This window comes from Homo sapiens, chromosome 10, assembly GCF_000001405.40.
Source record: "Homo sapiens chromosome 10, GRCh38.p14 Primary Assembly".
Lineage (NCBI taxonomy): Eukaryota > Metazoa > Chordata > Mammalia > Primates > Hominidae > Homo > Homo sapiens.
The window spans coordinates 77,432,588-77,457,993 of NC_000010.11; the positions used below are offsets into that span (position 1 = coordinate 77,432,588).

Here is a 25,406-nt window from a genome sequence, read left to right on the forward strand (position 1 = left end):
CATGAAAGGGAAAGGCCAGATACACCCTCACACAAGGAAGTGGTGGCAGAGCCAGGCCCAGACAGCAGAGATCTCAAAGGTCCCCATTTTCAATGTTGTGTTTCTTCCATACTGTCATTTCAAAAGAGCCATTTAAGGCTGGGACACTCTGGTCCCACTCAAAAAAAACAACAACAAATCATTAAACTTTCAACTTTTAAAAAACTACCAAACAGGTTGCAAAACACTTTCTTATCCTACACCTGGGCGAGAGAGACTTACAGAGGGGGAAGGGGCAGGGAGGGAAGAAGGAGAGGGTCATGAATGGTGAGGGGGAAGGGACTGAGTGAGGGTGGAAGTGTTCATGATTGGGATGGAGTAGAGATTAGGGAGCCTTGAACCTCCCTGAAGGTGAGAAAAGATCACGGATATCTGTTCATGAATTTAAAAAGACTCCGCAACTTCATATTCAGAGAGGAGCAGGACTCAGGAATCAGGCAATGGTCATGAGGTAAGTTTCAATTTTTCAAAACAAAGGTGATTTCATTTTTAAAAATTTGTTGTTTATTTGTCAAGAGAAACTATTTATTTTTATTTTTATTTTGAGACAGAGTCTCACTCTGTTACCCAGGCTGGAGTGCAATGCTATGATCTCCGCTCACTGCAACATCCACCTCCCGGGTTCAAGCAATTCTCACGCCTCAGCCTCCCGAGTAGCTGGGACTACAGGTGCACACCACCACATCTGGCTAATTTTTGTATTTTTAGTAGAGACAGGGTTTCACCATGTTGGTCAGGCTGGTCTTGAACTTCTGGCCTCAAGTGATCTGCCCACCTTGGCCTCCCAAAATTCTGGGATTACAGGCATGAGCCACTGTGCCCAGCCTTAAGAAAAACTATTTCTTAAGCCACATATTCATGTTTTATAGTTCAAGAACACAGGTCAGTGACAAATCTCTAGGTAATTCTTCCCAAAGGAATACTTTATATTCCAAAATCACTTTGCACTCTGAAAGATACCTCATCTCCTCAAAATCTTTCATAGAATCATAATTTCTGTAGAATCCGTGTATGCCTTCTTTTTTAGTTCAGCCACAGCAAAGTTACAGAGGGTTGCAACCCCCAGGGAAATAACAAATGCGCCAACAATATGAAATCACAGATGCTCAGCCAGAAGGCCATGTATCTGAGGTTTTGTCAAAGCACCGGAAGCCACAGTAGTTATTATGCTCAAAAGGTATGTCAGCCTCAACACCAGCATCCTTCCTGGCTGATCGATTTCATTTTTTGACAGATGAGTTTGACACCGCCAATCAGTGGCACCAAGGGACTGTATCATAATATCCTAATGGTCCCGAGGCTGATTCCCACGCCACAAGGGTAACTGCAATTCCATCAAGCCACAGCCAAATACAGAATGCCTCCCATTTAGGAAGCTCAGTTAAACTTTTTATGTCACCAACACGCCCCAACCTCAGAGTTGTCCCTTCCTCACTCAACACACGGGACATTTATCTTCAACGTCACCACCTAGCTTCAAGCTTCCTTCGGCTTCCCCAACCACAGTCCCCACTAACTACAAGCTCAGGCCAGCGCTACAGCCTGCTGACCACTGGCAAGGGGCCTTGGCACATCTAGACATCTGCAGCCAGGCCTGCCTCTCACCTTCTAGGCTATTTTCTCTGTAGAAGAACAAACTGCTTGAAAATCAGACTGCACCAGAACAGGCATTCTTCCTGCTGCTGTGGAAGTGTGTCTCGTTCCTGTGGAAAGGAGGTATCTTGTTCTGGACAGTGTGGGCTGGAGCTGCTGGCGGTCAGAACAGGGAAGATCGTGTTCAGGAAGAACACCATCCCTGAGAGAACCAGTCTCCCGACACACATCTCAAGGCCAGCCTGCACCAGCTCAACCCTCTCCTAAGCGAGAGGCTCCCCTATTAGCGTGATGCATGTCTTGGACCATTATGGATTGACATACATTCTTTTGTATGAAGATATTCAATGCTGCACATGGCATCTCTCACGACAGGACCCCCGAACCCAGAACACAGCTGCTGAGGAACAGGTGCTCCATCAATACGGGTGAAATAGATGAATACGTCCAAGTGCCGGTGTCGAGCACTGGAAATACAAGGACGATAAAGACACCACCCCTGCCTCCAAGGAGTTTTTTGGCTAGTGGGAGATTCCCCCTTGTTATTTGTCACTGGTGGGGTCAGAAATGGAGTCAAGGTCAGCGGGTTTTGGACTAATCTAGAAGAAGGACTGGATCAGTGCTTCTTAAATGTGTTATTCACATACTCCCATCACAACTTCTGCCCTAGCTGCATGACTCCTATGCTATTCACTAAACATTTTTCTTTCAATGGAGTCAAATTTTTTAACTAAACAAAGATATCTTTTTTGGGGAGAGAGTCTCACTCTGCCTCCTAGGATGGAGGGCAGTGGTGTGATCATAACTCACTGCAGGCTCAACCTCCCACTTCAGCCTCCTGAAAAGCTGGGACTACAGGCATGTGCTACCACACCTGGCTATTTTTTTTTTAATTTTTTGTAGAGATGGTGTCTCCCTCTGTTGCCTAGGCTGGCCTCAAACTCCTAGGCTCAAGCGATCTTCCCGCCTCAGCCTCCCAAAGTGCTGAGATTACAGCAATGAGCCACTGCACCCAGCTTAAATAAATATATCTTAAGGATACTCCGTAACATTACCACATGTGAAAAACTGGTATCACCAGTGAAGAAATAGAAGATAACCTTCAAAATAAACAAAATAGAAGAAAACTTTCAAAATAAATGCAAAACAAAACCAGGGTATGAAATTCTAGGTAGATGCCTCCGTTTGCATGCAGTCTCAATGGGGGCTGTTCTGTGCCTTTGTTCAAAAGGGAGACAGGCAAGGGTTAAGAGATGTTCAAACAGTAAACCGAGACTTTCTCCCTGAGATAACTAGAAAGACTGGAAGAAAACTGGAAATGAACTAAATCCCTCCTTGGTGACTCAGGGTCCTGTCCATATATCACTAGAAGGTATCTGCTACACCACCTGTGGTGTGGGGAAACCATAAAGCTGAAATGAGCTTTAACATTTCTTTCAACATCCAGGTCCTATAACACCATAAGCAGATTATTTAATGTCAAAGAAATCAAGCGCATGGAAGAAAGACAGCACCTAAACAACACAGGTCTGTTGACTGAATTAGATTTCCAAAGTTTCTGGCCCTCCCAGATTCATTATATCCTATGGTCTTCGGGTTACAAATGAGGACAGAAAAGCAGAGAGAGAGGAGGGAATGTACCCAACCCATCCACCTGGCAGTGACAGAGCTCAGAGGTCTTCATTTTGGATGAACCATGGGACCCAGATGCCTATGAAAGGGGAGGACTTGTAATCTTTTTATTCCCGATCTTAGACTACCTGTGTGTGCAATATGTGTTTCCACCACTTTGTGAAGTTCAGCCAAATGGCCCTTAAGAAATGAAGGCAATGACTTGGTGGAGGCCCTGCACGTAGAGAACGTCAGAAAAGGCTGAATTGGATCCCCAGATGTTCCTAAGACCTGCTGGGGGAAGCTTGCACAAGTCTGGTCCAAAATCCGTTTGTAAGGAAATTGGTGAAAATCACAGCAAAGCTGGCCTTCACAGGCCACATACCCAGGCCCTGCTCTCAAGCAACATCAGGCTTGGATAGATTTTTCCAGAACCCCAGATAGAGCTGGGCTAACTTAACAGGTTGAATTCAAGGCGTACCAAACTTTAAAACTGGAATTGGAGTTGACTATTTATATTACAAGAAGATTCTTCACTCTCCAAAAGCAACCCTTTGTCGTCTGAGCACCCCTAAAGACTTAAGTGTTTGTTAACAGATTACTAACCATTTGGCAGGAGTGCAAGCACTAAAGAAAACTTGCAGAGAAAGGAAGGGGAGGGAACTGGAATCTCTGCACCATTGGTTCGCCAAGCTTTGTGCTACATGCTTCACTTACAGTATCTCATTTAACTAATCCTCCCAGCAGGGTTAAGAATCTCCATTATACAGAAAAGGAAACAGCACAGAGAAGTGAAGTAATTTGGCCAAGGTCACACAGGTACTACAGCACTAGAAGCAGGGGCTGTTTCCAGCAGCACATGACATGGAACTTCCTAAGGAAGTGCCATTTGCATTTTGTTATCACCATCTACTAAAACATACCCCTCTGGCACACAGTGCAATAACTATTTATTGACATGAATATACATAAATGCTAAGAATGCCATACACAGTAAAGATGACCATATGGAGCTTAAAATTTATTACAGGTCAGAGGTATCAAAAGAAAATTATCTGAATATGCCAGGCTAGCAAGGGAGGGGATTCTTGGTGCCTAAAGTCCTACTATTCCAGTCTTCTTTCTTTACACACACACACACACACACACACACACACACACACACACTCCTTCAGCCAAAATGTTCCACTTTAGTGGAGGGAAAAGAGAGCCTGGAGCCATAAGTCTAGCTTATTGCTGATGCCTGGTGTTCCCCACTCTGCCTCCCAGGATCTGGAATTTATCTTGACCACCAGACAGAGCACAGAACTCCATTACCTAGGGTGGGCCAGGGCTGCCACGGAGCAGCATTGTGTGGCTGTACCCTCCAGAAACTCTGGATGTAAGATGGAAGGATTGTAGTACCTGGTGGACAATAGGTGGGAAAGGATGGAGGGTAAAGAAAAGCACAAGACAGGGAGAAAAAGGAAGGGGAGAGTGGGAGGATGGGAGGCAGGAAGTTCGGTTAAAATATACTGTCAGTGGCACCGGATAAAAATAATAGCCTTTTCTGTGATTGAAAGCATTTCTAAAAATCAAAGATAGGAACAGCTGCTGTGCTATGGTGGTGGGATTATGACTGCTTTTGTAAATGTCTTTTAATGTTCTTATATAGTTTTACAGCAGGTAAAATTTTGGAGCAGAAAGATATAAAAACATTCATGGATAGAAAATTCAGAACAAGTCACCAAGGGGAACTTGGTTTGTGATAATTTTATAAAACAGTGTTACATACATTCCTAACCTATCCCCAGGCCCCCTGAGAGCCACAACCAAGACCCATTGGACCAAGCTTCTGAATTTCACAGAGCTTAATGGGCTTCTGATGGCAGGGGCTAGTCACCCACAAAGAGAGGCCACAACATACAGAGGCAGGAGGCCTGCACCGGGGCCAGGACCATGCTCTGTGGACAAAATAGATGATTTCAGGCAAATCCCTTACCTGGCTGACTCGGGTCGTCTTCCTTAAAGTAAGAGGCTGCATGCGATCAGGAGTGACAAACTCAAATGCTTTAAAGAGTTAGGCTGGGATCACAGAACTGAATGGGCCATCAGAGCCTATGGTGGCCTGGAAATCACACACCCGGAGGCCAAGGGTGCAGCTGCTACCCAGACCTAGGTGAATGCTGGGCCCCATGCTGCCAGTGTAGAGAAGTTGGGAATCTATACTTTTTTAAATGTTTGGTTTAATTTTAATTTTTTTTGTTTTTAGAGATGGGATCCCACTGTGTTGCCTAGAGTGAAGTGGTGCAATCATAGCTCACTACAGCTTTAGACTCCTGGGCTCAAAGTGATCCTCCCGCCTCAGCCTCCCAAGTTGCTAGGACTAGAAGCATGGGCCGCCACACCAGAAGAAAACTAGACTTTCATGTGGGCTCTAATTTTTCTGTTGGCATCCAGTTTCTAAAAAACGTAGTACCAAGCACAGTGCCTGAATCTGTAATTCCAACACTTTGGGAGGCCAAGGCGGGCAGATCACCTGAGGTCAGGAGTTCGAGACCAGCCTCAATTAGGAGAAACCCCGTCTCTACTAAAAATACAAAATTAGCCGGGCGTGGTGGTGCATGCCTATAATCCCAGCTACTTGGGAAGCTGAGGCAGGAGAATTGCTTGAACCTGGGAGGCAGAGGCTGCAGTGAGCCGAGATTGTGTCATTGCACTCCAGCCTGGGCAACAAGAGCGAAACTCTGTCTCAAAAAAAAAAAAAAACAAAGAAGTACTTCAAATGTATTATCTCACTACTCTATGATATGTTGTAAGATTGGCCCCATTTTTACAAATGAGGAAACTGAGGCTCAGAGACATTAAGTAATTTGCCCAAGGTAACACAGCTAAAAAGGGGCAGAGCCAGGATTGGCTACTACAAAGTCCTTATTCCTTCTCTCCACAACATTTTATTAAGAAAATTTCAAACAAGGCCGAGTGTAGTGGCCCAGGTGGCTCATGCCTGTAATCCCAGCACTTTGGGAGGCCAAGACGGGTGGATCACCTGAGGTCAGGAGTTCAAGACCAGCCTGACCAACATGGTGAAACCCCATCTCCACTAAAAATACAAAAATTAGCCGGGGTGATGGTGCATGCCTGTGGTCCCAGCTACTCGGGAGGCTGAAACAGGAGAATGACTTGAACCCGGGAGGCCGAGGCCGAGCCCAGATCATGCCACTGCACTCCAGCCTGGGCGACAGAGCGAGACTCTCTCAAAAAAAGAAAGAAAAGAAAAGAGAAGAGAAGAGAAGAGAAGAGAAGAGAAGAGAAGAGAAGAGAAGAGAAGAGAAGAGAAAAGAGAAGAGAAGAAAAGAAAAGAGAAGAGAAGATTCCAAACATACAACAGGTTGAAAGGATTTCACAGACAATACCTGTATCCCATCACCTAGATTATACCATAAACATTAAATTTTACTGTATTGCTCTATCACAAATCTATCCAAAGATTGTCTCCTTTGGTTCCATCTGAAAAGCAACCTAGAAAGTACGTTAGAGGTGGAGCCCAGATGTTGCCATTTCTGAATTAGAAATAATTTGGCCTCTTCTGAAACCCACTCATCCCATTCCCTTTGTGGCTGGGGAGTATGGGGGTGGGAAGGGGGCAGGCAGGAAGGAGAGTGTTGATCCAGGAACATCTGCACACATCATCACAACACACATCCCAACCAGCTCTGATTTCTCCCCTGGCTCAAAGCAGGGAGAGATGGGTATTTGGGAAAAGCTCACCACCCCAAAATATCTCCCTAAACCCTGAAGGCTAAGTCAACCCATGGGCTCTCTGAAAGTGGCCAGGGGACAGCAGGAGAGGCAGTACTCGGAAAAGGGCAGCGGTACCTATCTTCGGAGCCCTTTCACCTGCTCCAGTGGGATTTTATTCTCACTCTGTGGCCCTGATACCTCCTGTGTCTTTTAGCTGCATTCGTGGGATGGGAGGGTTGTCAGGGAGGTTTCCCACCTGGGGCCTCTTCGTACACCTCAAGGGGATACCATGCCCACAGAATGCAATGTGAATGGTCCTCCTGGAGTCCTGCAGAGTGGTGGCAATCTTCAAGTCCATCTGATTCATGCAAAAGTTGTTCGAGCATAAACAGCAGCTTTCTCCAGTGTCCCACGCACAGTAAAGACCCTGCAAGAGGGCTGCCTATGAAAGGCCTTGGGGCCAGGGCGGGGGCTGGGAGTGCTGGACTCTCAATTCTGACACCATAGCTTCTCCACCACTTCTTGCTATGTGACCTTAAGAAACCTTCCTATCCTCTCTGGGTCAGAGCTTTACAAATGACGCCACACCAAAGGAAAAAAAACAAGCAAATTCTGGCCATCTCCTATGTTCAAGACAGTGGGCCAGATGCTGGGTGGAGGGGAAAGAGGCATACTAAGGAGCTCAGCAGATACCTCAGAGCCCTGGTCTAAGCGCTTTGCACGTTTTTAATACTGACATCAACTCTACAAGGTGGGTGTGACTTTTATCCACATTCTATAGGTGAGAAAACTCAGGAGGAGAGAAATTAAAACTTTCCTAAGGCCACAGGGTTAAGTAAGAGGCAGAGCAAGGGTGAAACATGGGCAACAGTTTCAGAAGCCTGCACAGGTGACCACCACAAAACGCTGCTTGCTAGAGAAGCCCAAGACCCCCTCTCTGACCTCCAGGAAGACTCGGTCCAGGGGAGGGAGCAAGACAAAAGTGAAGATTTAAATGCTGATAAAATATTTAAATAATTCTTTGAGATAATAGTGGGAAAGATGCTGCCAGGGAGAACATGATTAATTGTCAAATGAAAGTGTTCAGACAAAATTGCTCTAACGGTCCAGAAAAGGGGAGGAAAAAAACCCCTCTACCGTGAGCTCATTCTGAGTTGGAGGAAGCCTGGGAGGTTAAATGTCACTGGCTTTTGCAGAGTGAGCAGGACTTGAACAGGAGAGAGTAGGGCAGAAAGCATTCCAGCAAGAATCAAAATTCTTTTTTTGTTTTTGTTTTTGTTTTTGAGACAGAGTCTCATTCTGTCGCCCAGGCTGGAGTGCAGTGGCACGATCTTGGCTCACTGCAAGCTCCGCCTCCCGGGTTCACGCCATTCTCCTGCCTCAGCCCTCCGAGTGGCTGGGACTGCAGGCGCCAGCCACCATGCCTGGCTAATTTTTTCTGTTTTTTTTTCAGTAGAGACGGGGTTTCACCGTGTTGGCCAGGGTGGTCTCGATCTCCTGACCTCGTGATCCACCTTCCTTGACCTCCCAAAGTGCTGGGATTACAGGCGTGAGCCACCGCGCCCGGCCAAGAATCAAAATTCAAAGGGCCAGCTCTCATGTTTGGAAAGGTGAAGGGCCCTGAACGACTGAAGATGGCTCAGGGGTGCAGGAAGGGTGAGCTGAGGCTGGGTCTGAACTTTGCCTTATAAGTAATAGGGAGTCATAGAGGAATTTCAGTAGAGTAGAGGAGCATCATGACCCAAATGTCTGCTGATGACACACTGGATACACTAGGGGTGCAGGGAGAAAATTAATAAATTCCCCAAAGTGTTGGCCAAGGAGTCCTTGGGTCTTGACAGAGGAAAGCAAGAAGTTAAGGTCATGATACTCCTCAGAGACTGACCAAAGAAGGAAGAAGGGGGATACTTCAGCTGGAAGTCTTCAGCTGGGTTCCATCCTAAGGACTTTAGAATTTGGCACTCTGCGTCATCAGGGAAGCAAGTAAATATGATCCAAAGTCCCCCCACCCCCTCGCAGGGTTATATCCAGAGAACAGAATTTTTTAATGCTATTTTTAATCTTTCTGTTGACCAAAAACACACTGAGAAGAAATGAAGCATGAACATCAACAAGAGGCTCTACAAACTCTCTCCCCTCTCTTCCCTCCTGTTAACCACTCTGCGACCCTGCAGACTCACCATATGGTCCACCAGCTAGATGGCCCCTTCTGATCCTGGAAGGGCTGATCCGCTTAATTATTTGGCAGCTATAAATAGAAGCATTGGACAATAGCCTGAGATCTTTTTTTTTTCTTCTTTTTTTGGTCTTGCAAACAAAGAGAGGGTCCCTAGTTGGCAGGATTGGAGAGTAGGATTTCACTCCCTCCCTCCAGGCCATTGTCTTCCACCTGAGCCACCACAGCCTCAGGGCGGCTTCAGAACTGTCCTGGATGAGCTAGGGACAGCCCTGTCTCAACTGCGCCAGCAAGGAGATGTGCTGGGGTCACTCACAGTTCTTAGAGTCAGGGTGGGTTTTAGGAAAGAGATCACCCAGGAGACTCGAAAGGTCCGTTTGCTTTAGGCATGTCCTTGCCTATGGGGCCAAGACCTCACTCTAGCCACCCACAGCTTTTCCTACCTTACCACTCACTGCACCCACATTCAGCCTTCACTCTCACCCCCACCCCATTCCCAGGCGAGAGCAGCCACCTGGAGGAATGGACTCCTCTGGATCCAGAGCCAGGAGGTGAGCAGAGCAAATGTTCCCAGTGCCTGCAGGAGGAAGCCAGGCACCCAGGGTTCCCCTTGCCACCTAGACCCCCGCCACCTCCCCATCTAGGATGGGCTTTCTCTACTCCACACATAAGCACTCTCCTGCCCCAGCTCCTAAGCTGTTCTCCCTACCCCTAATCTTAGCAGGGACCTGGCATGGAAGTCAGATGAGCCTGGCTTGGCCTCTTGGGTCTGCTACTTTACTAGTTGTAAGATCATGGGCAAGAGGTTTCATTGCTCAGTGCCTCAGCTTCCCCACCTGTACAATGGGCACAATAACGATACTGACCTCTAGGGACTGCTTATGAGGACCTATCGAGAGAGCAGGTAAAGGTTGTCATCTAGAGCCTGGCACACAGCAAGTGCTTGCTAAGGGGTGTTACTGGCAGCTTTTCTCTGAGTCCAACTCCCATCACCTATATGCATGGGACTCAGCACACATTTGCTAAGTTGTTGGTTTCTCCACGCTCCCCTCCTCCTCCTTCACACCCAAGAGGAATGACCAGGTGGCCACAGGAGTCAGCATGTTTGACTTTGGTACCTGGGGCTCCTGACCATCCAGTGTGAATCCAAACGCATTTCCCTGACTGTCTGACACCTGCTGTTTAATCTCCATCACCTTCCCTCCTCCTACCTGGCTCAGGGTCCCTCACTCCGCATAGGTGGCCAAGGTGTGGGGGAGAGCCCTCCTTCCTAATGCTTGTTTGTTTTTTCGCTCATGTGTTTGCTCAGAGACAGGATACCATGGTGACACCCACGATCCAGGGTGGCTGGGTACACACACATAGACAGGGAAATCAAGTGAAAGAAAAAGCCCATGGGGGCCACCATCATCCCACGAGGGGCCAGACTGGCTCCCAAAAGAGGGGGAAAGGCTGTCCCTCCCAGGGGCCTACATATGTTTTCCCAATGGAAAGCTTTTCTCAGTGGTCCCGGCAGGCTTCCAGGACACTCCTGCAGGCCAGGGACTGGTTTCTGTTTGTCTAGAAGCCCTGCATTCATGGTCTAGCATAGCCACCAACCTCCTTGAGATCCATCACTATCCCCCCATCATGGGCATCTGCAGAGCATTCATGGGTTGTGGTCATGACTTGGAAAATTATTCTTAGGCTGGGAGTATGGCTGGACTAGGCTTCACAGAGAACACGGAGGGCAGGGTGAGACGCTGCCAGTTGGAGAGAATGGCAGCCCCTCATGAAGTTCAGAGACCCCAGCACACGAGGAATCTACCCTGCCTGGCACTGCATTGGCTCTCGTGGAACATGGAGGGAGTGGGCTTTGGAATCAGAGGCCAGGGATCAATTCCTAGCTGTGCCACTTCCTAGCTAGGTCAACTGTGCTGTTTCCTTTAACCTTTCTGAGCCAAATTATTTCTAATTCAGAAATGGCAACATCTGAGCTCCACCTCTAAAGTGCTTTCTAGGTTGCTTTTCAAATGGAACCAAAGGAGACAATCTTTGGATAGATTTGTGATAAAGAAATACTGAATGCTAAAATGAAAATAAAAATATCTTCTGCAGAAATAAGACCTAGAGTTTGATAGATCAGTAGGGTGACTATAGTTTAGAAAATATTATATATTTCAAAGTAGCTAGAAGAGAATAATTCAAAGGTTTCTAGCATAAAGACAAATATTTAATATGATAGATATCCCAATAACCCTGATTTGACCTTTACAAATTATATGACTATATTAAATATCACATGTACATATGTACATTTATTATTTATCAGTAAAAATAAAATTAAAATTATAAAAGGGAGAGAGACTTCCTGCATATGAAATAGAGATTACAAATCCTTTCTAAGTACACATGGGATACTGACCTGTATGCTAAGTCATTAAAAAAAGAAATCCTTCTGCAAAGGACCGTTTTGAGACTATGAGGCTCTAATTTAGAAAGGTGACAAGCACATTGCAGGACCTTACTTAATAGGGCTGGGGCTTGCCAGCATACAAAATTACTGCAGTGACTTGTTCAGACTCCTGCACTGGGAAAAGACTTAGTCCAGAGACTTACCCAATGTTTTGCCATAGTAAATTCTCCAAGGATGAAGAAAGGAGGAGGAGAGAAAGAGAACTTTTCTCTGTCTTCTTCAAAAGCTGTAGCAGCCAGATGAAGTACGGTGTAGGTGGCCAAGCAGCCAGATCCCTAAATAGCAACTAATGACTTTGATTGAAATTAATAATGAAACGACACCTGTTAGCTCACTTGTAGCCACTTTAGTTTGTCACATGGCAATTATATTCACTATCCTATCAGCTGGTCCATGAGCTGTAAAATGCTATAATGCCATGCCATATGCCTCTCTTGTCTCCCATGTTGAGACGGGGGCTGTCCTCAGGGTGGTTATCAATTCCAGGCCTCCTAACCACTCTGGAGATTGTCCTGGGAACTTCCCCGGCATTCAAAAAGACTTGAGGACCACCAGCCCCAGTGAACCTGCTGAGTCCCAGGGAGCAGCTGGGCAGCCTCTTTGAAGGTGGATTCCCCCACCGAGCAAGAGGAAAAACACACCCAAGAGTTACCGAGTCCCTTCTGTGGTTGGGTCCTTGAAAAGCCTTGTTGGGTGATAGAGGGAATTCTCCACTTGAGCAGTGAACAACAGTGTCACCATCCACATTATCTCCCCAGACAGAGGCAGGACATAAAGAACTAAACAGGCCCCCAGCAGGCCATGAGATTTGGTTTCTATAGCAACCCAACTGAGGTTGCATGAGTGCCTATGAGATAGATGCCCAAGGCTCACCCCAGACAGGGCCAGAATTCCAGAATCCCAACGGCAAGGACCACCCAGCAGCGTTTAGAGATGGAAAGCAAGGTTTGTTCATGTTCAGAAAAACCCAGGGAAGCCACAGGAAAAAAATGGGGCTAGGATCCCCACTTTCTATAAGGCAAGCTCCAAGACTATCTGGCAGCCCAAAGCTGGCATGCAGAGCTGAGGCAGGCCCCACAGGTGAGCTGAGCCACGCTGGGGATTTTAACAGAAAATAATCCTCCATCCACCTCTGCATCGTCCATATTCTCTCTCTCTCTCTCTCACACGCACATACACAGACACACACACACACACACACACACACACACATATGAAAAATAAAAAAAATCTTGCAATTATTCAAAAGAAACTATGGTTGATTTGTTGATCAGAAAAATATCAATGAATGACCAATTGCAACAAGGTCCAAGGTCCTTTAATGAAAGTTTCTAATTAACCCTACCTTTGAACACTTCTATTACTCTATCTGTAGAGTAATTGTTATTTTAGCGATGCAATGTTTCCTAATAAGACCAAGCATTGGGAGAAAGGGAGGAAGGGAGGGACCTGAAACCCAAACCCAGCCCCAGGTACAAGCTAGCACAATTAGCAGCCAGTGTACTGGCTTCTCGAATGCTGATATGGAATAGCTCAGGAAACTCAATCCCACCAGGGACCTGCTTACTGTCCACAGATGTCATCACAGTCATCGGTCAAGCTGAGAGAGGCTAGCGCAAACAGGCGATGGGGCCGCTCTATCTCTCCTCCTCCATCAAATCACAAAATGCCATGACAACACCCAAGCCAGGGCCTCTGAGGACACATGAAAGGAAATCCAACTTCATGCAACAGGGACTCAAGGTATGGCCCTTTTCGGCCAAAAGGCAGTGTGGGCTGGAGAGAGAGATAAACACAAGAGGCTGGAAACACAGACAGGGTGAGTGGGAAAGCTTAGAAGGCACTTAGCAGGTAAGGCTGGCATCGGGAGGGAGCTGGCTGGACCCTAATCCCTGAAACCTCTCTCCCTGAAACCTCTCTTCAAAGAGATCTACACTTTCTAAATCCTGCCTCCATGAGATGAAACTTCTGTTCGGTGTCCCACTCTTACAGCCCCTGATTCCCCCAGGGCCTAGCTAAGGAGGCCCTTGGACCACCAGTGAAACTAAACAGAGTCACTGCCTATGAAGTCCCTTCAGTCTGGAGCTGTCTGAGGAAACAGATAAGCCATCCAGGCCAAAGACCAGCCTTTCACCATCTGAGGGGCTATTAGATGCCCAGCAAATATGGGTTGCCTAGCTGGTAGCTTCTGGCCCAGATGCCAGTCCAAGAGCTAGAGTGGCCTCTCCAAGCTTGGGAGTTAGGGAAGCTGTACCCAGATCCTTGGCACCCACCCCAAAAGAGCCCATGAAGAGAAATGAATGAAAGGGCCCAGGGAGATTCTCAAGGCCCCGGTCAGCCGCCCTAGAAGTCACCTCAATCTTAGTCAAGGATGAGCTGAGCCTTGAAAATCCATACTCTGTGCAAGAAGATGCAGATAATCTGCCCAGTTGCCCAAGGCAATAACTTGGAGGACAACCAACAAAGGCCAATGGGGGTCACTTGGGAAGACACATCCCTAAGTTGACCTGACTTCCTTAGAGTGGGCAGGAAAGACAGGCTTCAGAAGATAGCTAGAAAGTAACACCAGAGAAGGTCACCCTAGAGGTGGCCCCTGGCCATTTCTCAAGGTGACAGCCTCTCTGCCCAGGCGTCCACACTGCAATGTTTTCCATATTGGCACTTCCTTACAAAGTCCTCTCTTTCTACCTCCATACCTTTGTTCACACTGTTTTGCTTAGCTGGCAAGTTCTTCCTGCTCCTCTCTGCCTACCAAAGCCCCACTTGCCCTTCAGGGTCAGGTCAAACTCAAGCTCCTCATCAAGCTCTGCATGCCATGGAGATGTGCTGCCCCCAACCTCACCTCGAAGAAGGACTTGAGGCCCAGCTTCAGGGAGACGGCTTTGCAAACAGCCCCCAGCTGTCGGTTCCTTCAGGCTCAGCCTCAGCTACAGCTTCAGCCAAGGTCACCCTTCCTGGGACAGCCTGCATCTGGTGACAGAGTGAGGTGGGGTACAGAAGCACAGCAATTTGGGCCCAAAGGGATCATCTCTGTTGGATAAATCCACTCCAGAGTTGTCTGCTGGGTTGGCCGAGGTTTTGTGGAAGCTGCATCAGCTCTCGACTTGTCCCTCTTGTCACTCTGGCCTCTGCCTCTCCCTTCTCAGAGGTGGATTCCTAATAAACATCATGAGCTCAAACTGGTCTCCACCAGTACCCATCTCCCACCAGAAATTCAATCAATGGTCATTATTATTATAGCCCATGTTTCTGCCACAAAAGGTGCTCAATAAACCTTTGATAAACACATGAGATAATTTAGCATTTCTACTTGCTGACGGAGCTCTTGCAGAGCCTGCCACTCTTTCAGGCACACTCACAGCAGCTGCTGATCAGGTAGACCAAATGACATGAGGCCAATGAAATAAATATGCCATCACAAGAGCATGGCTTCCTCTGGCTCCCTAGGAATCACACAGCATGCTGGCTCCTGAAGAACACACAAGGAGATGCCTCACCTGAGAGGTTTTGGATCCTGGGATCAAGAACAGGGGCTCATTGGTACCTCTGTGTCCATCCTAAATGATGGCTCACTTAAGAAGTGATGGAAGGTCAGCTTTAGTGACACCTTCTCATCAGCAATGCTGCTACTAGGTGCCAACAGCATCTCTCACCACGGCACTTTAATCAGGATGGCATGACACCACTGTAAATATTAAAAAGGTTATAATTAGAGACGCAGTTAAAACAACCGAGGGCTTAGTGTTACTAAAGATATTTGCAGAATCTGGTGCAATATAAATAGCAGGGTTTACGGTGTCATGCCTAAAATTTTGAGCAGGCTGATGTTCCAAGGGGATGTTCAGTGAATGCCCATCCAAGCTGGGATTTCTCTCAACTGATTGTTTTCTCTCCAGTGTCAGAGTTCTCAGAAATAGATATCCAGAGTGTGCCCATTCTCATAAAGGGGTGAAAAGACCTTGCTACTCAAAAAGTAGGACAACCTTGCACCAGGACACCCGTTGAAGCTCGGTGGGGCAGCTGCAGCCCCTCAAGCTGCTAGAAACACTGTCTCCTGCATGGAGAGGTCACAGCCTTGTGATTCCATCGGCTCCAAATTTAAAGCAATCTTGCAGAAAAGGGCCAACATTTATCAGAATGAGGAAATTGTTTTCTAGGGTGATATCAACTGGAGTCTGCTGGGTACACATGACACAGAGAACAGGCAATCAACCTACCAACAAAGACGATAATTGTCACAGTGCCTGCCACCGGCCAGGCCTCTGCACACATTCACTTTTTCCTCACCACAATCTTACAAGGCTATTGTTGACATAGTCACTTTACATATGAGACAATCAAGACTCGCAACATCATAAAACTGATCAGCAGCGACATCTAAATTTGAATTCAGGTCTGTCCAATTCCAGGGTTCTTTCAGATGTGAGAAGGGAGGTTCAGAAAGGGCCCCTTTTTCTTCTCCCTCCGTGTACTTCTGTATTATTTGAAATTTTTATCAATAGTATATTTTCTTGTATTACTTTTTAAATCTTCAAATCATCAAAAAGAATTTATGGGCAAGAGAAATGGTCCTATTTCTGTTGAAAATGTATCTTAATTTGATGTAACAAAATACTACTAACAGGCCGGGTGCAGTGCTCATGCCTGTAATCCCAGCACTTTGGGAGGCCAAGGCGGGCAGATTACGAGGTCAGGAGATCGAGACCAGCCAGACTAACATGGTGAAACCCCGTCTCTACTAAAAATACAAAAATTAGCCAGGCGTAGTGGTGCATGCCTGTAATCCCAGCTACTCATGAGGCTGATGCAGGAGAATCGCTTGAATCCAGGAGGTGGAGGTTGCAGTGAGCCGAGATCGCATCACTGCACTCCAGCCTGGGCAACAGAGCAAGACTCCGAAAAAAAAAAAAAATTACAAACAGCCATTGAAATAAAAAAAAATCTGTTCTTTGCTACAATAATTTCATTTCTGGAAACCTATCCTGAAAAAAATAAGCAGAGACACCAAATTATATTAAATAAAAAAGCTGCCTTTATTTTGAAGTGTTACCTTTAATAAGAAATAAACTGGCAAGAAACTCGACACCCAACAACAGAAAATAAAGACTGGATATCCTCATGATAAACTAGGGTGATGCTATTAAAAATAGTTTTGAAATGTCAGCAACCACAAGGGGAAATGCTCATTACATGTTTCTAGGTTTAAGAATCAATAAATAAACTAAGTATTCACACATGTAAATGCTGGTATATGCATCCCTCCCAGGACCCACAGGCATACAAAGGAATTTAGAAAGAGTAGACATCTTTGGAGAGAGGTTTCCAGGATTAGGGTGGGTGGGGTAGGGTGGGCAGAAAACTTTTACTTTTCATTTTATATTTTTATAAGTTATTTCAATGTTTACCATATGTGTTACTTTTATTTCATTTCACTTTTTCAATTTTTTTTTTAATTTTTAATTTTTTTTTTTTTTTTGAGACGGAGTCTCACTTTGTCGCCCAGGCTGGAGTGCAGTGGCGGGATGTCAGCCCACTGCAAGCTCCACCTCCCGGGTTCACACCATTCTCCTGCCTCAGCCTCCCGAGTAGCTGGGACTACAGGCACCCACCACCATGCCCAGCTAATTTTTTGTATTTTTAGTAGAGACGGGGTTTCACTGTGTTAGCCAGGATGGTCTTGATCTCCTGACCTCATGATCCACCTGCCTCGGCCTCCCAAAGTGCTGGGATTACAGGTGTGAGCCACCACGCCTGGCCTATTTATTTATTTTTAATTTAAAATAGAGAATGTGTCTCACTCTGTCACCCAGGCTAGAGTGCAGTGGTGCAATCACAGCCCACTGCAGCCTCCAACTCCTGGGCTCAAGTGGTCCTCCACCATGCCTGGCTTTATTATTCATTTATTTATTTATTTGAGACACAGTGCAGTGGCACGATCTTGGCTCACTTCAACCTTTGTCTCCCAGGTTCAAGTGATTCTCCTAATTCAGTCTCCCGAGTAGCTGGGATTACAGGTGCCCGCTACCATGCCTGGCTAACTTTTGCATTTTTAGTAGAGATGGGGTTTTGCCATGTTGGCCAGGTTGGTCTCGAACTCCTGCCCTGAGGTGATCCACCTGCCTCGGCCTCCCAAAGTGCTGGGAGTACAGGCGTGAGCCGCTGTACCCAGATTTATTTTTTAAACTAAGTATATTTTAAAGCTTTACATATATTATGTATATTAACCAATATACATATTAACATTTATATATATTAACCAATCTAAGTTTTCAGAATAACATTTCATTATATAATAATAAAATACACCCAAATGTGATTTCTGCATTGCAGAATTACAGACATTGCTTTCTCTTTATAATTTTTCTGTATTTGCCAAGTTTTCTCCCATAAAAGCATAATTTTATTATCATAAAAAGCCTCCTTTTCAAAACTTTAAGGTATCTCACTAGTAAGAGGATATACTTTCTCTAATAAGAGTTTGGGTTTCACCACCAGTCATGTCCAGCCTCAGACCCACCCAAAGAGTCATACTATCATGAGTACAGGGGATAGAAGGGCCCCATGAGACTCATTCCAGGAGGTTACCAAAGTAGTAGACCTGAAATGGTTTGGCTCTGTGTCCCCACTCAAATCTCCTCTTGAATTGTAATAATTCCCATGTGTTGTAGGAGGGACCCAGTCAGGGGTAACAGAATGATGGGGGCATGTTTTTCCCATACTGTTCTCATTATAGTGAATAGGTCTCATGAGATCTGATGGTTTTATTAAGGGGAGTTCCCCTGCACATGCCTTCTTACCTGCTGCCATGTAAGATGTGACTTTGCTCCTCATTTACCTTCTGCCATGATTGTGAGGCTTCCCCAGCCATGTGGAACTGTGAGTCCATTAAACCTCTTTCCTTTGGAAACTACCCAGTCTCAGGTATGTCTTTACTAGCAGCATGAGAACAGAATAATACAAGACACAAGCCCTACTGGCTTAGCCTAGAGCCTCAGCTGAAGCCACAGCCCTCAGCCCTGGACCCCTGAGATACAAGAGGAGCCTGACCAGTGACATCCCGGAATTAAACAGGGGGAGAATCTTCCTCTTATTGTCATCCTGAGCAATACACTAGACAAAGGCCATCGGGCAGATAAAAAGAGGAACCCTGTGCCCCTGAAGTTGATCTGACCACCAGCGAGAGGTCACATCTGCTATGTGCAATGCCCTGCAGGGGTCACAAAGATGACTTCAACCTCGACCCTGTCTTCAAAGGAGAGTCCAGTCCAGGCGAGTAGGTGAGAAGGCATGTACCAACTCAAATCCCAGGTAGAAAGTGAGCAGAGCCCGAACTACAGAGGTATGAATACAGGGCAATTGAAGTTCAGAGGACGAAAGCTCGCTTCCAGCCTAGGGTGCAAGGACAGCTTCCAAAGGAGGTGATTCACAAACTGAGTTTGAAGTCTAGGTGTATTCAAATACAGGCCAAGTGTGCCCCTGCCCAGGAGTAGGCAGTCTATGCAACATGTGAATCACATGTTCAAGCACCTGCCTCACCTGTTTTATGGGCAAGTCTGCCAGCTACAGTCCTATCAGGGCACCTATATTTCTAAGGACCTGGATGCCTGGATGTTTTTTCTCCCCAGGGCATATATCTCAATTACAAACCTGCAGGAAACAAAAAGTTTGTGGAGAGTCACAAAACATATTTGAAATGTATAAGACTTTCACCACAGGAAACTAGGCCTAACAAGTATTTTCCTGTGGAACACCCCTGGCTTTGATGAAACTCCCCATTCAATGTCTCTTTCCTCCTGCAAACTTTGCTAATAGCAGTGAAAATAAAAGCACAGATCCTATATTTACTTAATGATCTTGGCTGCTTTAGACATGAGATAGCATTCCAAGAGAGCAAAGTGCTTTTTAACAAAATTCAACAAGACCCTGCCCTTTCCCCCGCCCTCCCACCTGGCCTCTGGAAGGAGGAAGGAATTTCTCATTCTCTGATCTTTTCGCCTGCCATGACCCCCAGGGCAATCCAGACAGTAAGACTGGCCATGCCTCCTGGTCATGTCCCATACCTCATGTCCTCATGTGAGACCCCAGATGGGGGAGATGATCACATTTGAGTTACATTTGAGGCGGAGATTCAGGTGGGGGCCCAAAACATGGCTGACATCCAGCCAGCATTCTTTGCTAGATGGAGCTGGGAATGGGGGGTTAACTTTTGTGAAAGTTTATTAGAGAATAAAGTAAGTGAGTTAATTAAATTGGAGTGTGAAAGACATTTGGGTGGTGATGAGGAGGCGAGGTGATGATTTATTTATAATTGACAAGGTTGCATCTAGCTACTGGGATAGTAATTATACACTTTATAAATGCGCAAAAAAAGTCCTTTCATGCGATGGAGGTTTAAGGGAAAATCCTGTCAGGGAAGTTTCTGTCTGCCCATGAGTATGACACCACCTCAAGAGCTGTTGGCCACTTGGCTTCTGCCAACCACAGCTGTAAGTTGGGGACTGAATAATCTCTAAATACCCTTCTAAAAATGAGGCCTTTTCTGGGAATCAGTACTTAGCCTCCATCTGCTTCTGATGATGTTTTCTTATCTCAATTCAGGGACAAAGAGGGATCCTTTATCTTGTGTCTGATTCTTTGTTTTTGTTTTACTGATTCATATTCAAGTTCCAGCTCTTGGATCCTCCCTAATCAAGATGATAAGAAAGATGCTGCCCAATGCGGCATCTCATTTAAGGGTGAGCAGATGTGAATTCAGACCCTAAATTTGGGAAAGTTCCTTAATCTCATCTGGAAAACAGGGATGGGGGTACCTAGCTGACGGGGTTGCTATAAGGACAGAACCTGGTGTAAAGGCAAGCCTGGTACCCAGTTAACACTCATTATCATGCACCTTAGGTTAAGTCATGGTAAAGGAAACGTTTCAGGTTAACTTCAGTCCCTTGATAACTGGGGATTCCAGCCTGACCTGTTTGCATAGAGTCTAGCTTGGCCCCTGTGACCAGCATTTGCCTCTCTAAGGGCTCCTAAGCACTCAGTTTTAAAATCCAATCAAGAGTATTTCCAGAGATAAGCCACGACATCATTAGAATACAGATTACAGCATCCATCTTCTGACACCCACTGAGAAATTCTAACAAGCACAAGAAGTTCCAGAATGCTAGAGGTAAAAAATAAATAAATATAAATAAATAAATAAATAAATAAATAATCTTATCTCACCATTCAAAGATTCTCCAAAGAAGTAGCATGGACTAGATCTCTCCTCCCACCTGAAACAACTAAAAATTCAGACAAGACAATGATTTTCAGACACTGGAGCTCAGTCAGGGGAAGACAGCAATCCCTGAGAGAGGAGAAACGAAGTGAGCCCTACAGTTGCCTCAACTTCCTGTCTGGAGAGAGCGTCCAAGTCACAGCAGAAAGAAGGAGGACCCCAGCAGGGCCCAGATGTCTCCCTGAGTTGAGGAGATGAAGGCTGGATTCCAGCAAGGCCAAGGAGGCTGGAATTCACAGGCCAGGGCAGCAAAAAGAACTGCCCAGTGAATACTTGAGGTCAGCAGAGGGACCCCCTTGAGTCTTTAGCTAAGTATTGGTGGACACAGGCATGTGTGAAAGCTATCCAAGGTGGGGGAGAGAAACACCCTAAAGGAGCAGACAGAACATTTCCCAGAGTTTATACAGGGCTGGGAACGGTTCACCTTCCCACCAGCCAGAGTGGAAACCTCAAGCTCACAGAGCACCTGGTAGAGTACTGAGAATAGCAGCGTCTCTGTAGTGGGAAAAAATTAGCCCTAGATTAAGAGAGCTCTGGTTCCACCTAATAAAGCTCAAAGGCAAGACCCAAAAAAGATCAAACTGTTTCCATACAACTTGATCATGTCCCAGAAAATAAGCTCAAGAATGTTTTATAGGAGTACTAAGATATCCAGCAACCAACAAGGTAAAATTCACAATGTCTGGTATCCAATCAAAAACTACCAGGCATTCAAAAAGGCAAAAAAATTGAACCCATAATGAAAAAATAGTCCATCAAAAGACTCCCCACTTCTGCAACCACATCTACAGTGTATTTCAGGACCCAGCCATAGAGCCCCTCTGGTCCTAGAAATGCATTTCAAAGTGCCTCTCTAGCTCTGTGCAAGAGATTTTCTCTTTTTCATTCTAAAGACAGTAATCCTAGGTAGAAACAAGAGAGAGAAAAAAAACAGAAATGCTCACTTTCTAGTTTGTTTCTCTGTTTGCTAACAGTGTCACATTTCCCAAGCAGTGATACTCTCCCATCTCGTTCATCTTCTAATTCTCTGCCTATAATTTTACAAATGTCTGTGGCTATCTTTAGCAGTTTTCACCAGTTTTGTGTTTTAGCCACCTGACCCCCTTTCACTCTACCCTAAGTTAGATGACTCCTCATTCCTCATTCATAAAGTTCTGTCTGTTAAACCTAGAGTTGATCAGCGATCACGATACACGAACATGCTCTCTTCTTCAGATGCCCTCACATTTTCCTTCTTTACTTGGGGATTAACAATTTAATTTTTAATTAGTGGAGCATACTCAAAATGTCATGGTTGCAGCCTTCCATCACTCTTGGGCTATATTCTCTCTTAAGGTCTTCATATGGACTGCTGTCTAAAACAATCTAGAAGAGCAAGAAATCCAAAAATGGGCCCAAGTATCCTAGGGCTGTGGATCCAAGGCATCCATCCAATGTGAACTAGATAAACTGCAGTCTGTCTGCACCATTGATCTTTCTGAGATGAGGGCACCTGAAAGAGTGGGCCAAGCCACTAGAACCCTGGACCCTCCACCACAGGTACCTTGTGGCAGTTGGCTTTAACTTCCTCCCTATCCTTGCCATATTAATCTTCATTCCCTGTAGTCATAAAGTTCTAGAAGAATATATCAGCTTTGATCTCTTTCAGTTATTCATGCATTCTTTCATTTAAGTAAACAGATATTTACTGAGTACCTACCATGTGCTTGGCAATACTTTCCAATCTTCAGAACCGGGCTCTCACACCAAGCCCAAGCACAGGCAGCTACCCTTACTCCTACTCAAAAATGTGAAGAGGCTGAGGCTTCTAAAATAGAAAAAGTCACCAGCTCAGGGTCAAATAATTAATGGAACTCGAACCCAGGACTCCTAGACCCAAGCCTCTCCTGGCCAAGTCTCATTCACTGCAATCACAGGTCCAGCCTGGTCACGATGATGAGTGGGACTGTACCCTGCCCTCCCTGCCCAGCCCATTCTAGGCTTCCTCAGAATTCCCTACTTTGAGTGCTCCTTTGCCATGTGAGGCTCAGTGATTTCCTTCTCCGAGTCCACTCACATTTGATAGGCTCCTATGAAATGTAGGTGAGCTTCACCTGAATCTGCACCTGTCCTCATTGCTAAGGTGATGAGCTAGTGTCAAGAAAGGCTGAGGGATCCAAGGATGAACTCAGGCAGGGCTTGAGGCCACTACTCCCGGTTCCCCTCCTCTCTTCCCCATGAATCACCTTCAAGGACACTTCCATCAAACCTGACTCACACAGAAGGCCCAGACCTGAGAAATGACCAGCCCCTGGGCCAGAGCAGAGAGCCAGAAGGCAATTCCCTCCCCCATCACTGCTGCACTGGGTGGAAATTGGGTCAGAGCTGGCCAGCCCATTCATTTAATCCAAACGCCCCCTTTCCATTCAGCTCTTAGTCCTCAGAGCTTTCAGTCCAAGGAAGCACTATTTCCTCTGCAAAATAAACAAAATAAATTAAGCCCATGCTCTTTGATCTCAGGGCTTTTGTGTGGCTGATGAATTGAACAGAAATGATCTGCCATCCTCCTGGCATCTCAAAGACACTGCAAAAATTCAGCTGTAGCTTCCAGCCACCTGCCAGGCACTGTGCTGACAAGGAAGCATGGCTAAGGAAGGCACTCTTTGCCACCCATTCTCCCAGGGAAGCAAGAAGAGTCTGCAGGAGGCACGACAGGGGAAGTCAAAAGAGTCAAAGACTGTGAGGCAGGATTCGTCTTTGGCCACATAGGCATGGATTCTTCTTCCTCTGCTCATTCCCACCCCAGGGACTTTGCACTGGCTTTTGTCCCCATGTGGCATACTTTCTCTGGAGACCTTGGAAAGCTGGCTCCTTCTCATCCTTCTCATGTCAGCTTGCACAGGACCTCCGGAGAGAAACCTTTCCCATCAAAAGTAGCCCCCAGACTCTACCCGCATCACTGTCTGCCAGCCCCCTACTCTATTATCTCCACACTTATCATAATCAGAAATGACCTTGTTGCTGCATTTGTTCTCTTGTTTGTTTTCTGTTTCCACTTCTACCTCCGTGACAGCAGGGACATCATCTATCTTGATCAGTGCCATATCCCCGGCAGTTAGCAAAACGTCTGGCATATGGCAGGTGCAAGGCAAATGTTTGCTGAAGGAGGGAGGCTGCATGGAGGAGACTGGGCCCTCTTTCCAGTGCCAGCTCTGCCTGCATCGAGCACTATGTGGCGCATCTAGACCAGGATCCACATCCATGGTGTGGTTTCCCCAGGCTGCAGAAGTGCACTGTGGAAGCAGGTCTGTGTGCTTGAGATCAGGGAAAGCTGACCAAGAAGATGGGACACAGTTGATTCTGGAGAGGCAGGGAACAGACAGGGGACTCTCCTAACAGGCTGGATCTTCCAGGACAGTTGAAGGACAACATCCAGTAGGACCCTAGACCAAGAGTATAGACACTGTCGCTATGGGTGTTTCTCTGAGCCCTGAGACTTCCCATGTTTAAGATAAGCTGGTTGGATTACTGGTTATTGATTATGTTGAATCTTTTGGTGGCACAGACCAACTTGAGAATCTGAAGATATCAACTTTCTTTCTGGAGAAATGCATGTGCTTACATAGAGACAAAATATGCCTGCACTTCCTAGAAGGGCAAGGACCCCTCCGAAGTTCATTCACAGCCCCAGGATGACAGCCTCTCACTTAAAGGCTCTTGGGCCGCCCTGCTAGTCATTGGCCTGCTTGCTCTGAGACCCAGTCTTTACCCCTCGTCTGTAGACTGTGGACTACACTCCCCAGGCTCCCTCGCTCTTTCTTCTAGGGAAGTTTGTTCTATTCAGCAGGAATGCAGGCAGAAGTCTGCAGGGTGGGGGCAGGCAGAAACCAGGACATTTCTCCCTCCTTCTGCATTTGGTGGCATCTCCAGATAGAGAACATGTCCATCATTATATCTATCACCTCTGGGTATCCTGCCCTCCCCAGAGTCCTTTCCTCTGTGATCCTGCCCAGCCCAGCAGGCCTTCTGTAGTTCCAGCATCCGCCAGGTGCTGCTGGATCCTGAGTTCTAGAAAACCAGCTCCTCCCTTCCCCCTCTAGCCCTAGGATGCTAGCAGCTTCCTGCCATTGCTATTCTCTGGGCTGCCTCTCCATTTTTTGCTTGGCTTTTTATCTCCTTGGACACCTTTATAACTAGTTCCCCATATAAACTCCTTCTACTAGATATTTTGGCATGAACTCTGGGTTTCCTCTGGGGTCCCTGGTGGGATCAGCCTCCCTCCAGCACGGGCATTCTGAGAGCCTGGTAGCTTCCTGGAAAGGCCAATCTGAGCTGAATTAACAAATCCCTAGGAAGGTCAAGAAGATGGAGGGGCTGGGAAAACCCATGTTGCCTGCGAGTGCAGTGCCTCCATCCTGTCTGGTTCCATTCCAGGAAAAAAAGTTATATAGGAAAAGCCTCACAATCGCAATGTAGTTAAAAACTGTTTACTGCCTTTTTCTAAATGAGGGAAACAAATGTAAGGCCCAGAGCAGCCTCCCATCAAATCATGCTCT

At 46.3% G+C, this 25,406-nt stretch overlaps 1 protein-coding gene and 1 pseudogene across 53 annotated transcripts in view; both read right to left on the reverse strand.

Annotated features, from left to right (window-relative positions):
* KCNMA1 (potassium calcium-activated channel subfamily M alpha 1) overlaps nt 1-25,406 on the reverse strand; it is a 768,207-nt gene that overhangs the window by 562,986 nt on the left and 179,815 nt on the right. The window lies entirely within an intron of this gene.
* COX6CP15 (cytochrome c oxidase subunit 6C pseudogene 15) lies at nt 985-1,195 on the reverse strand (annotated as a pseudogene).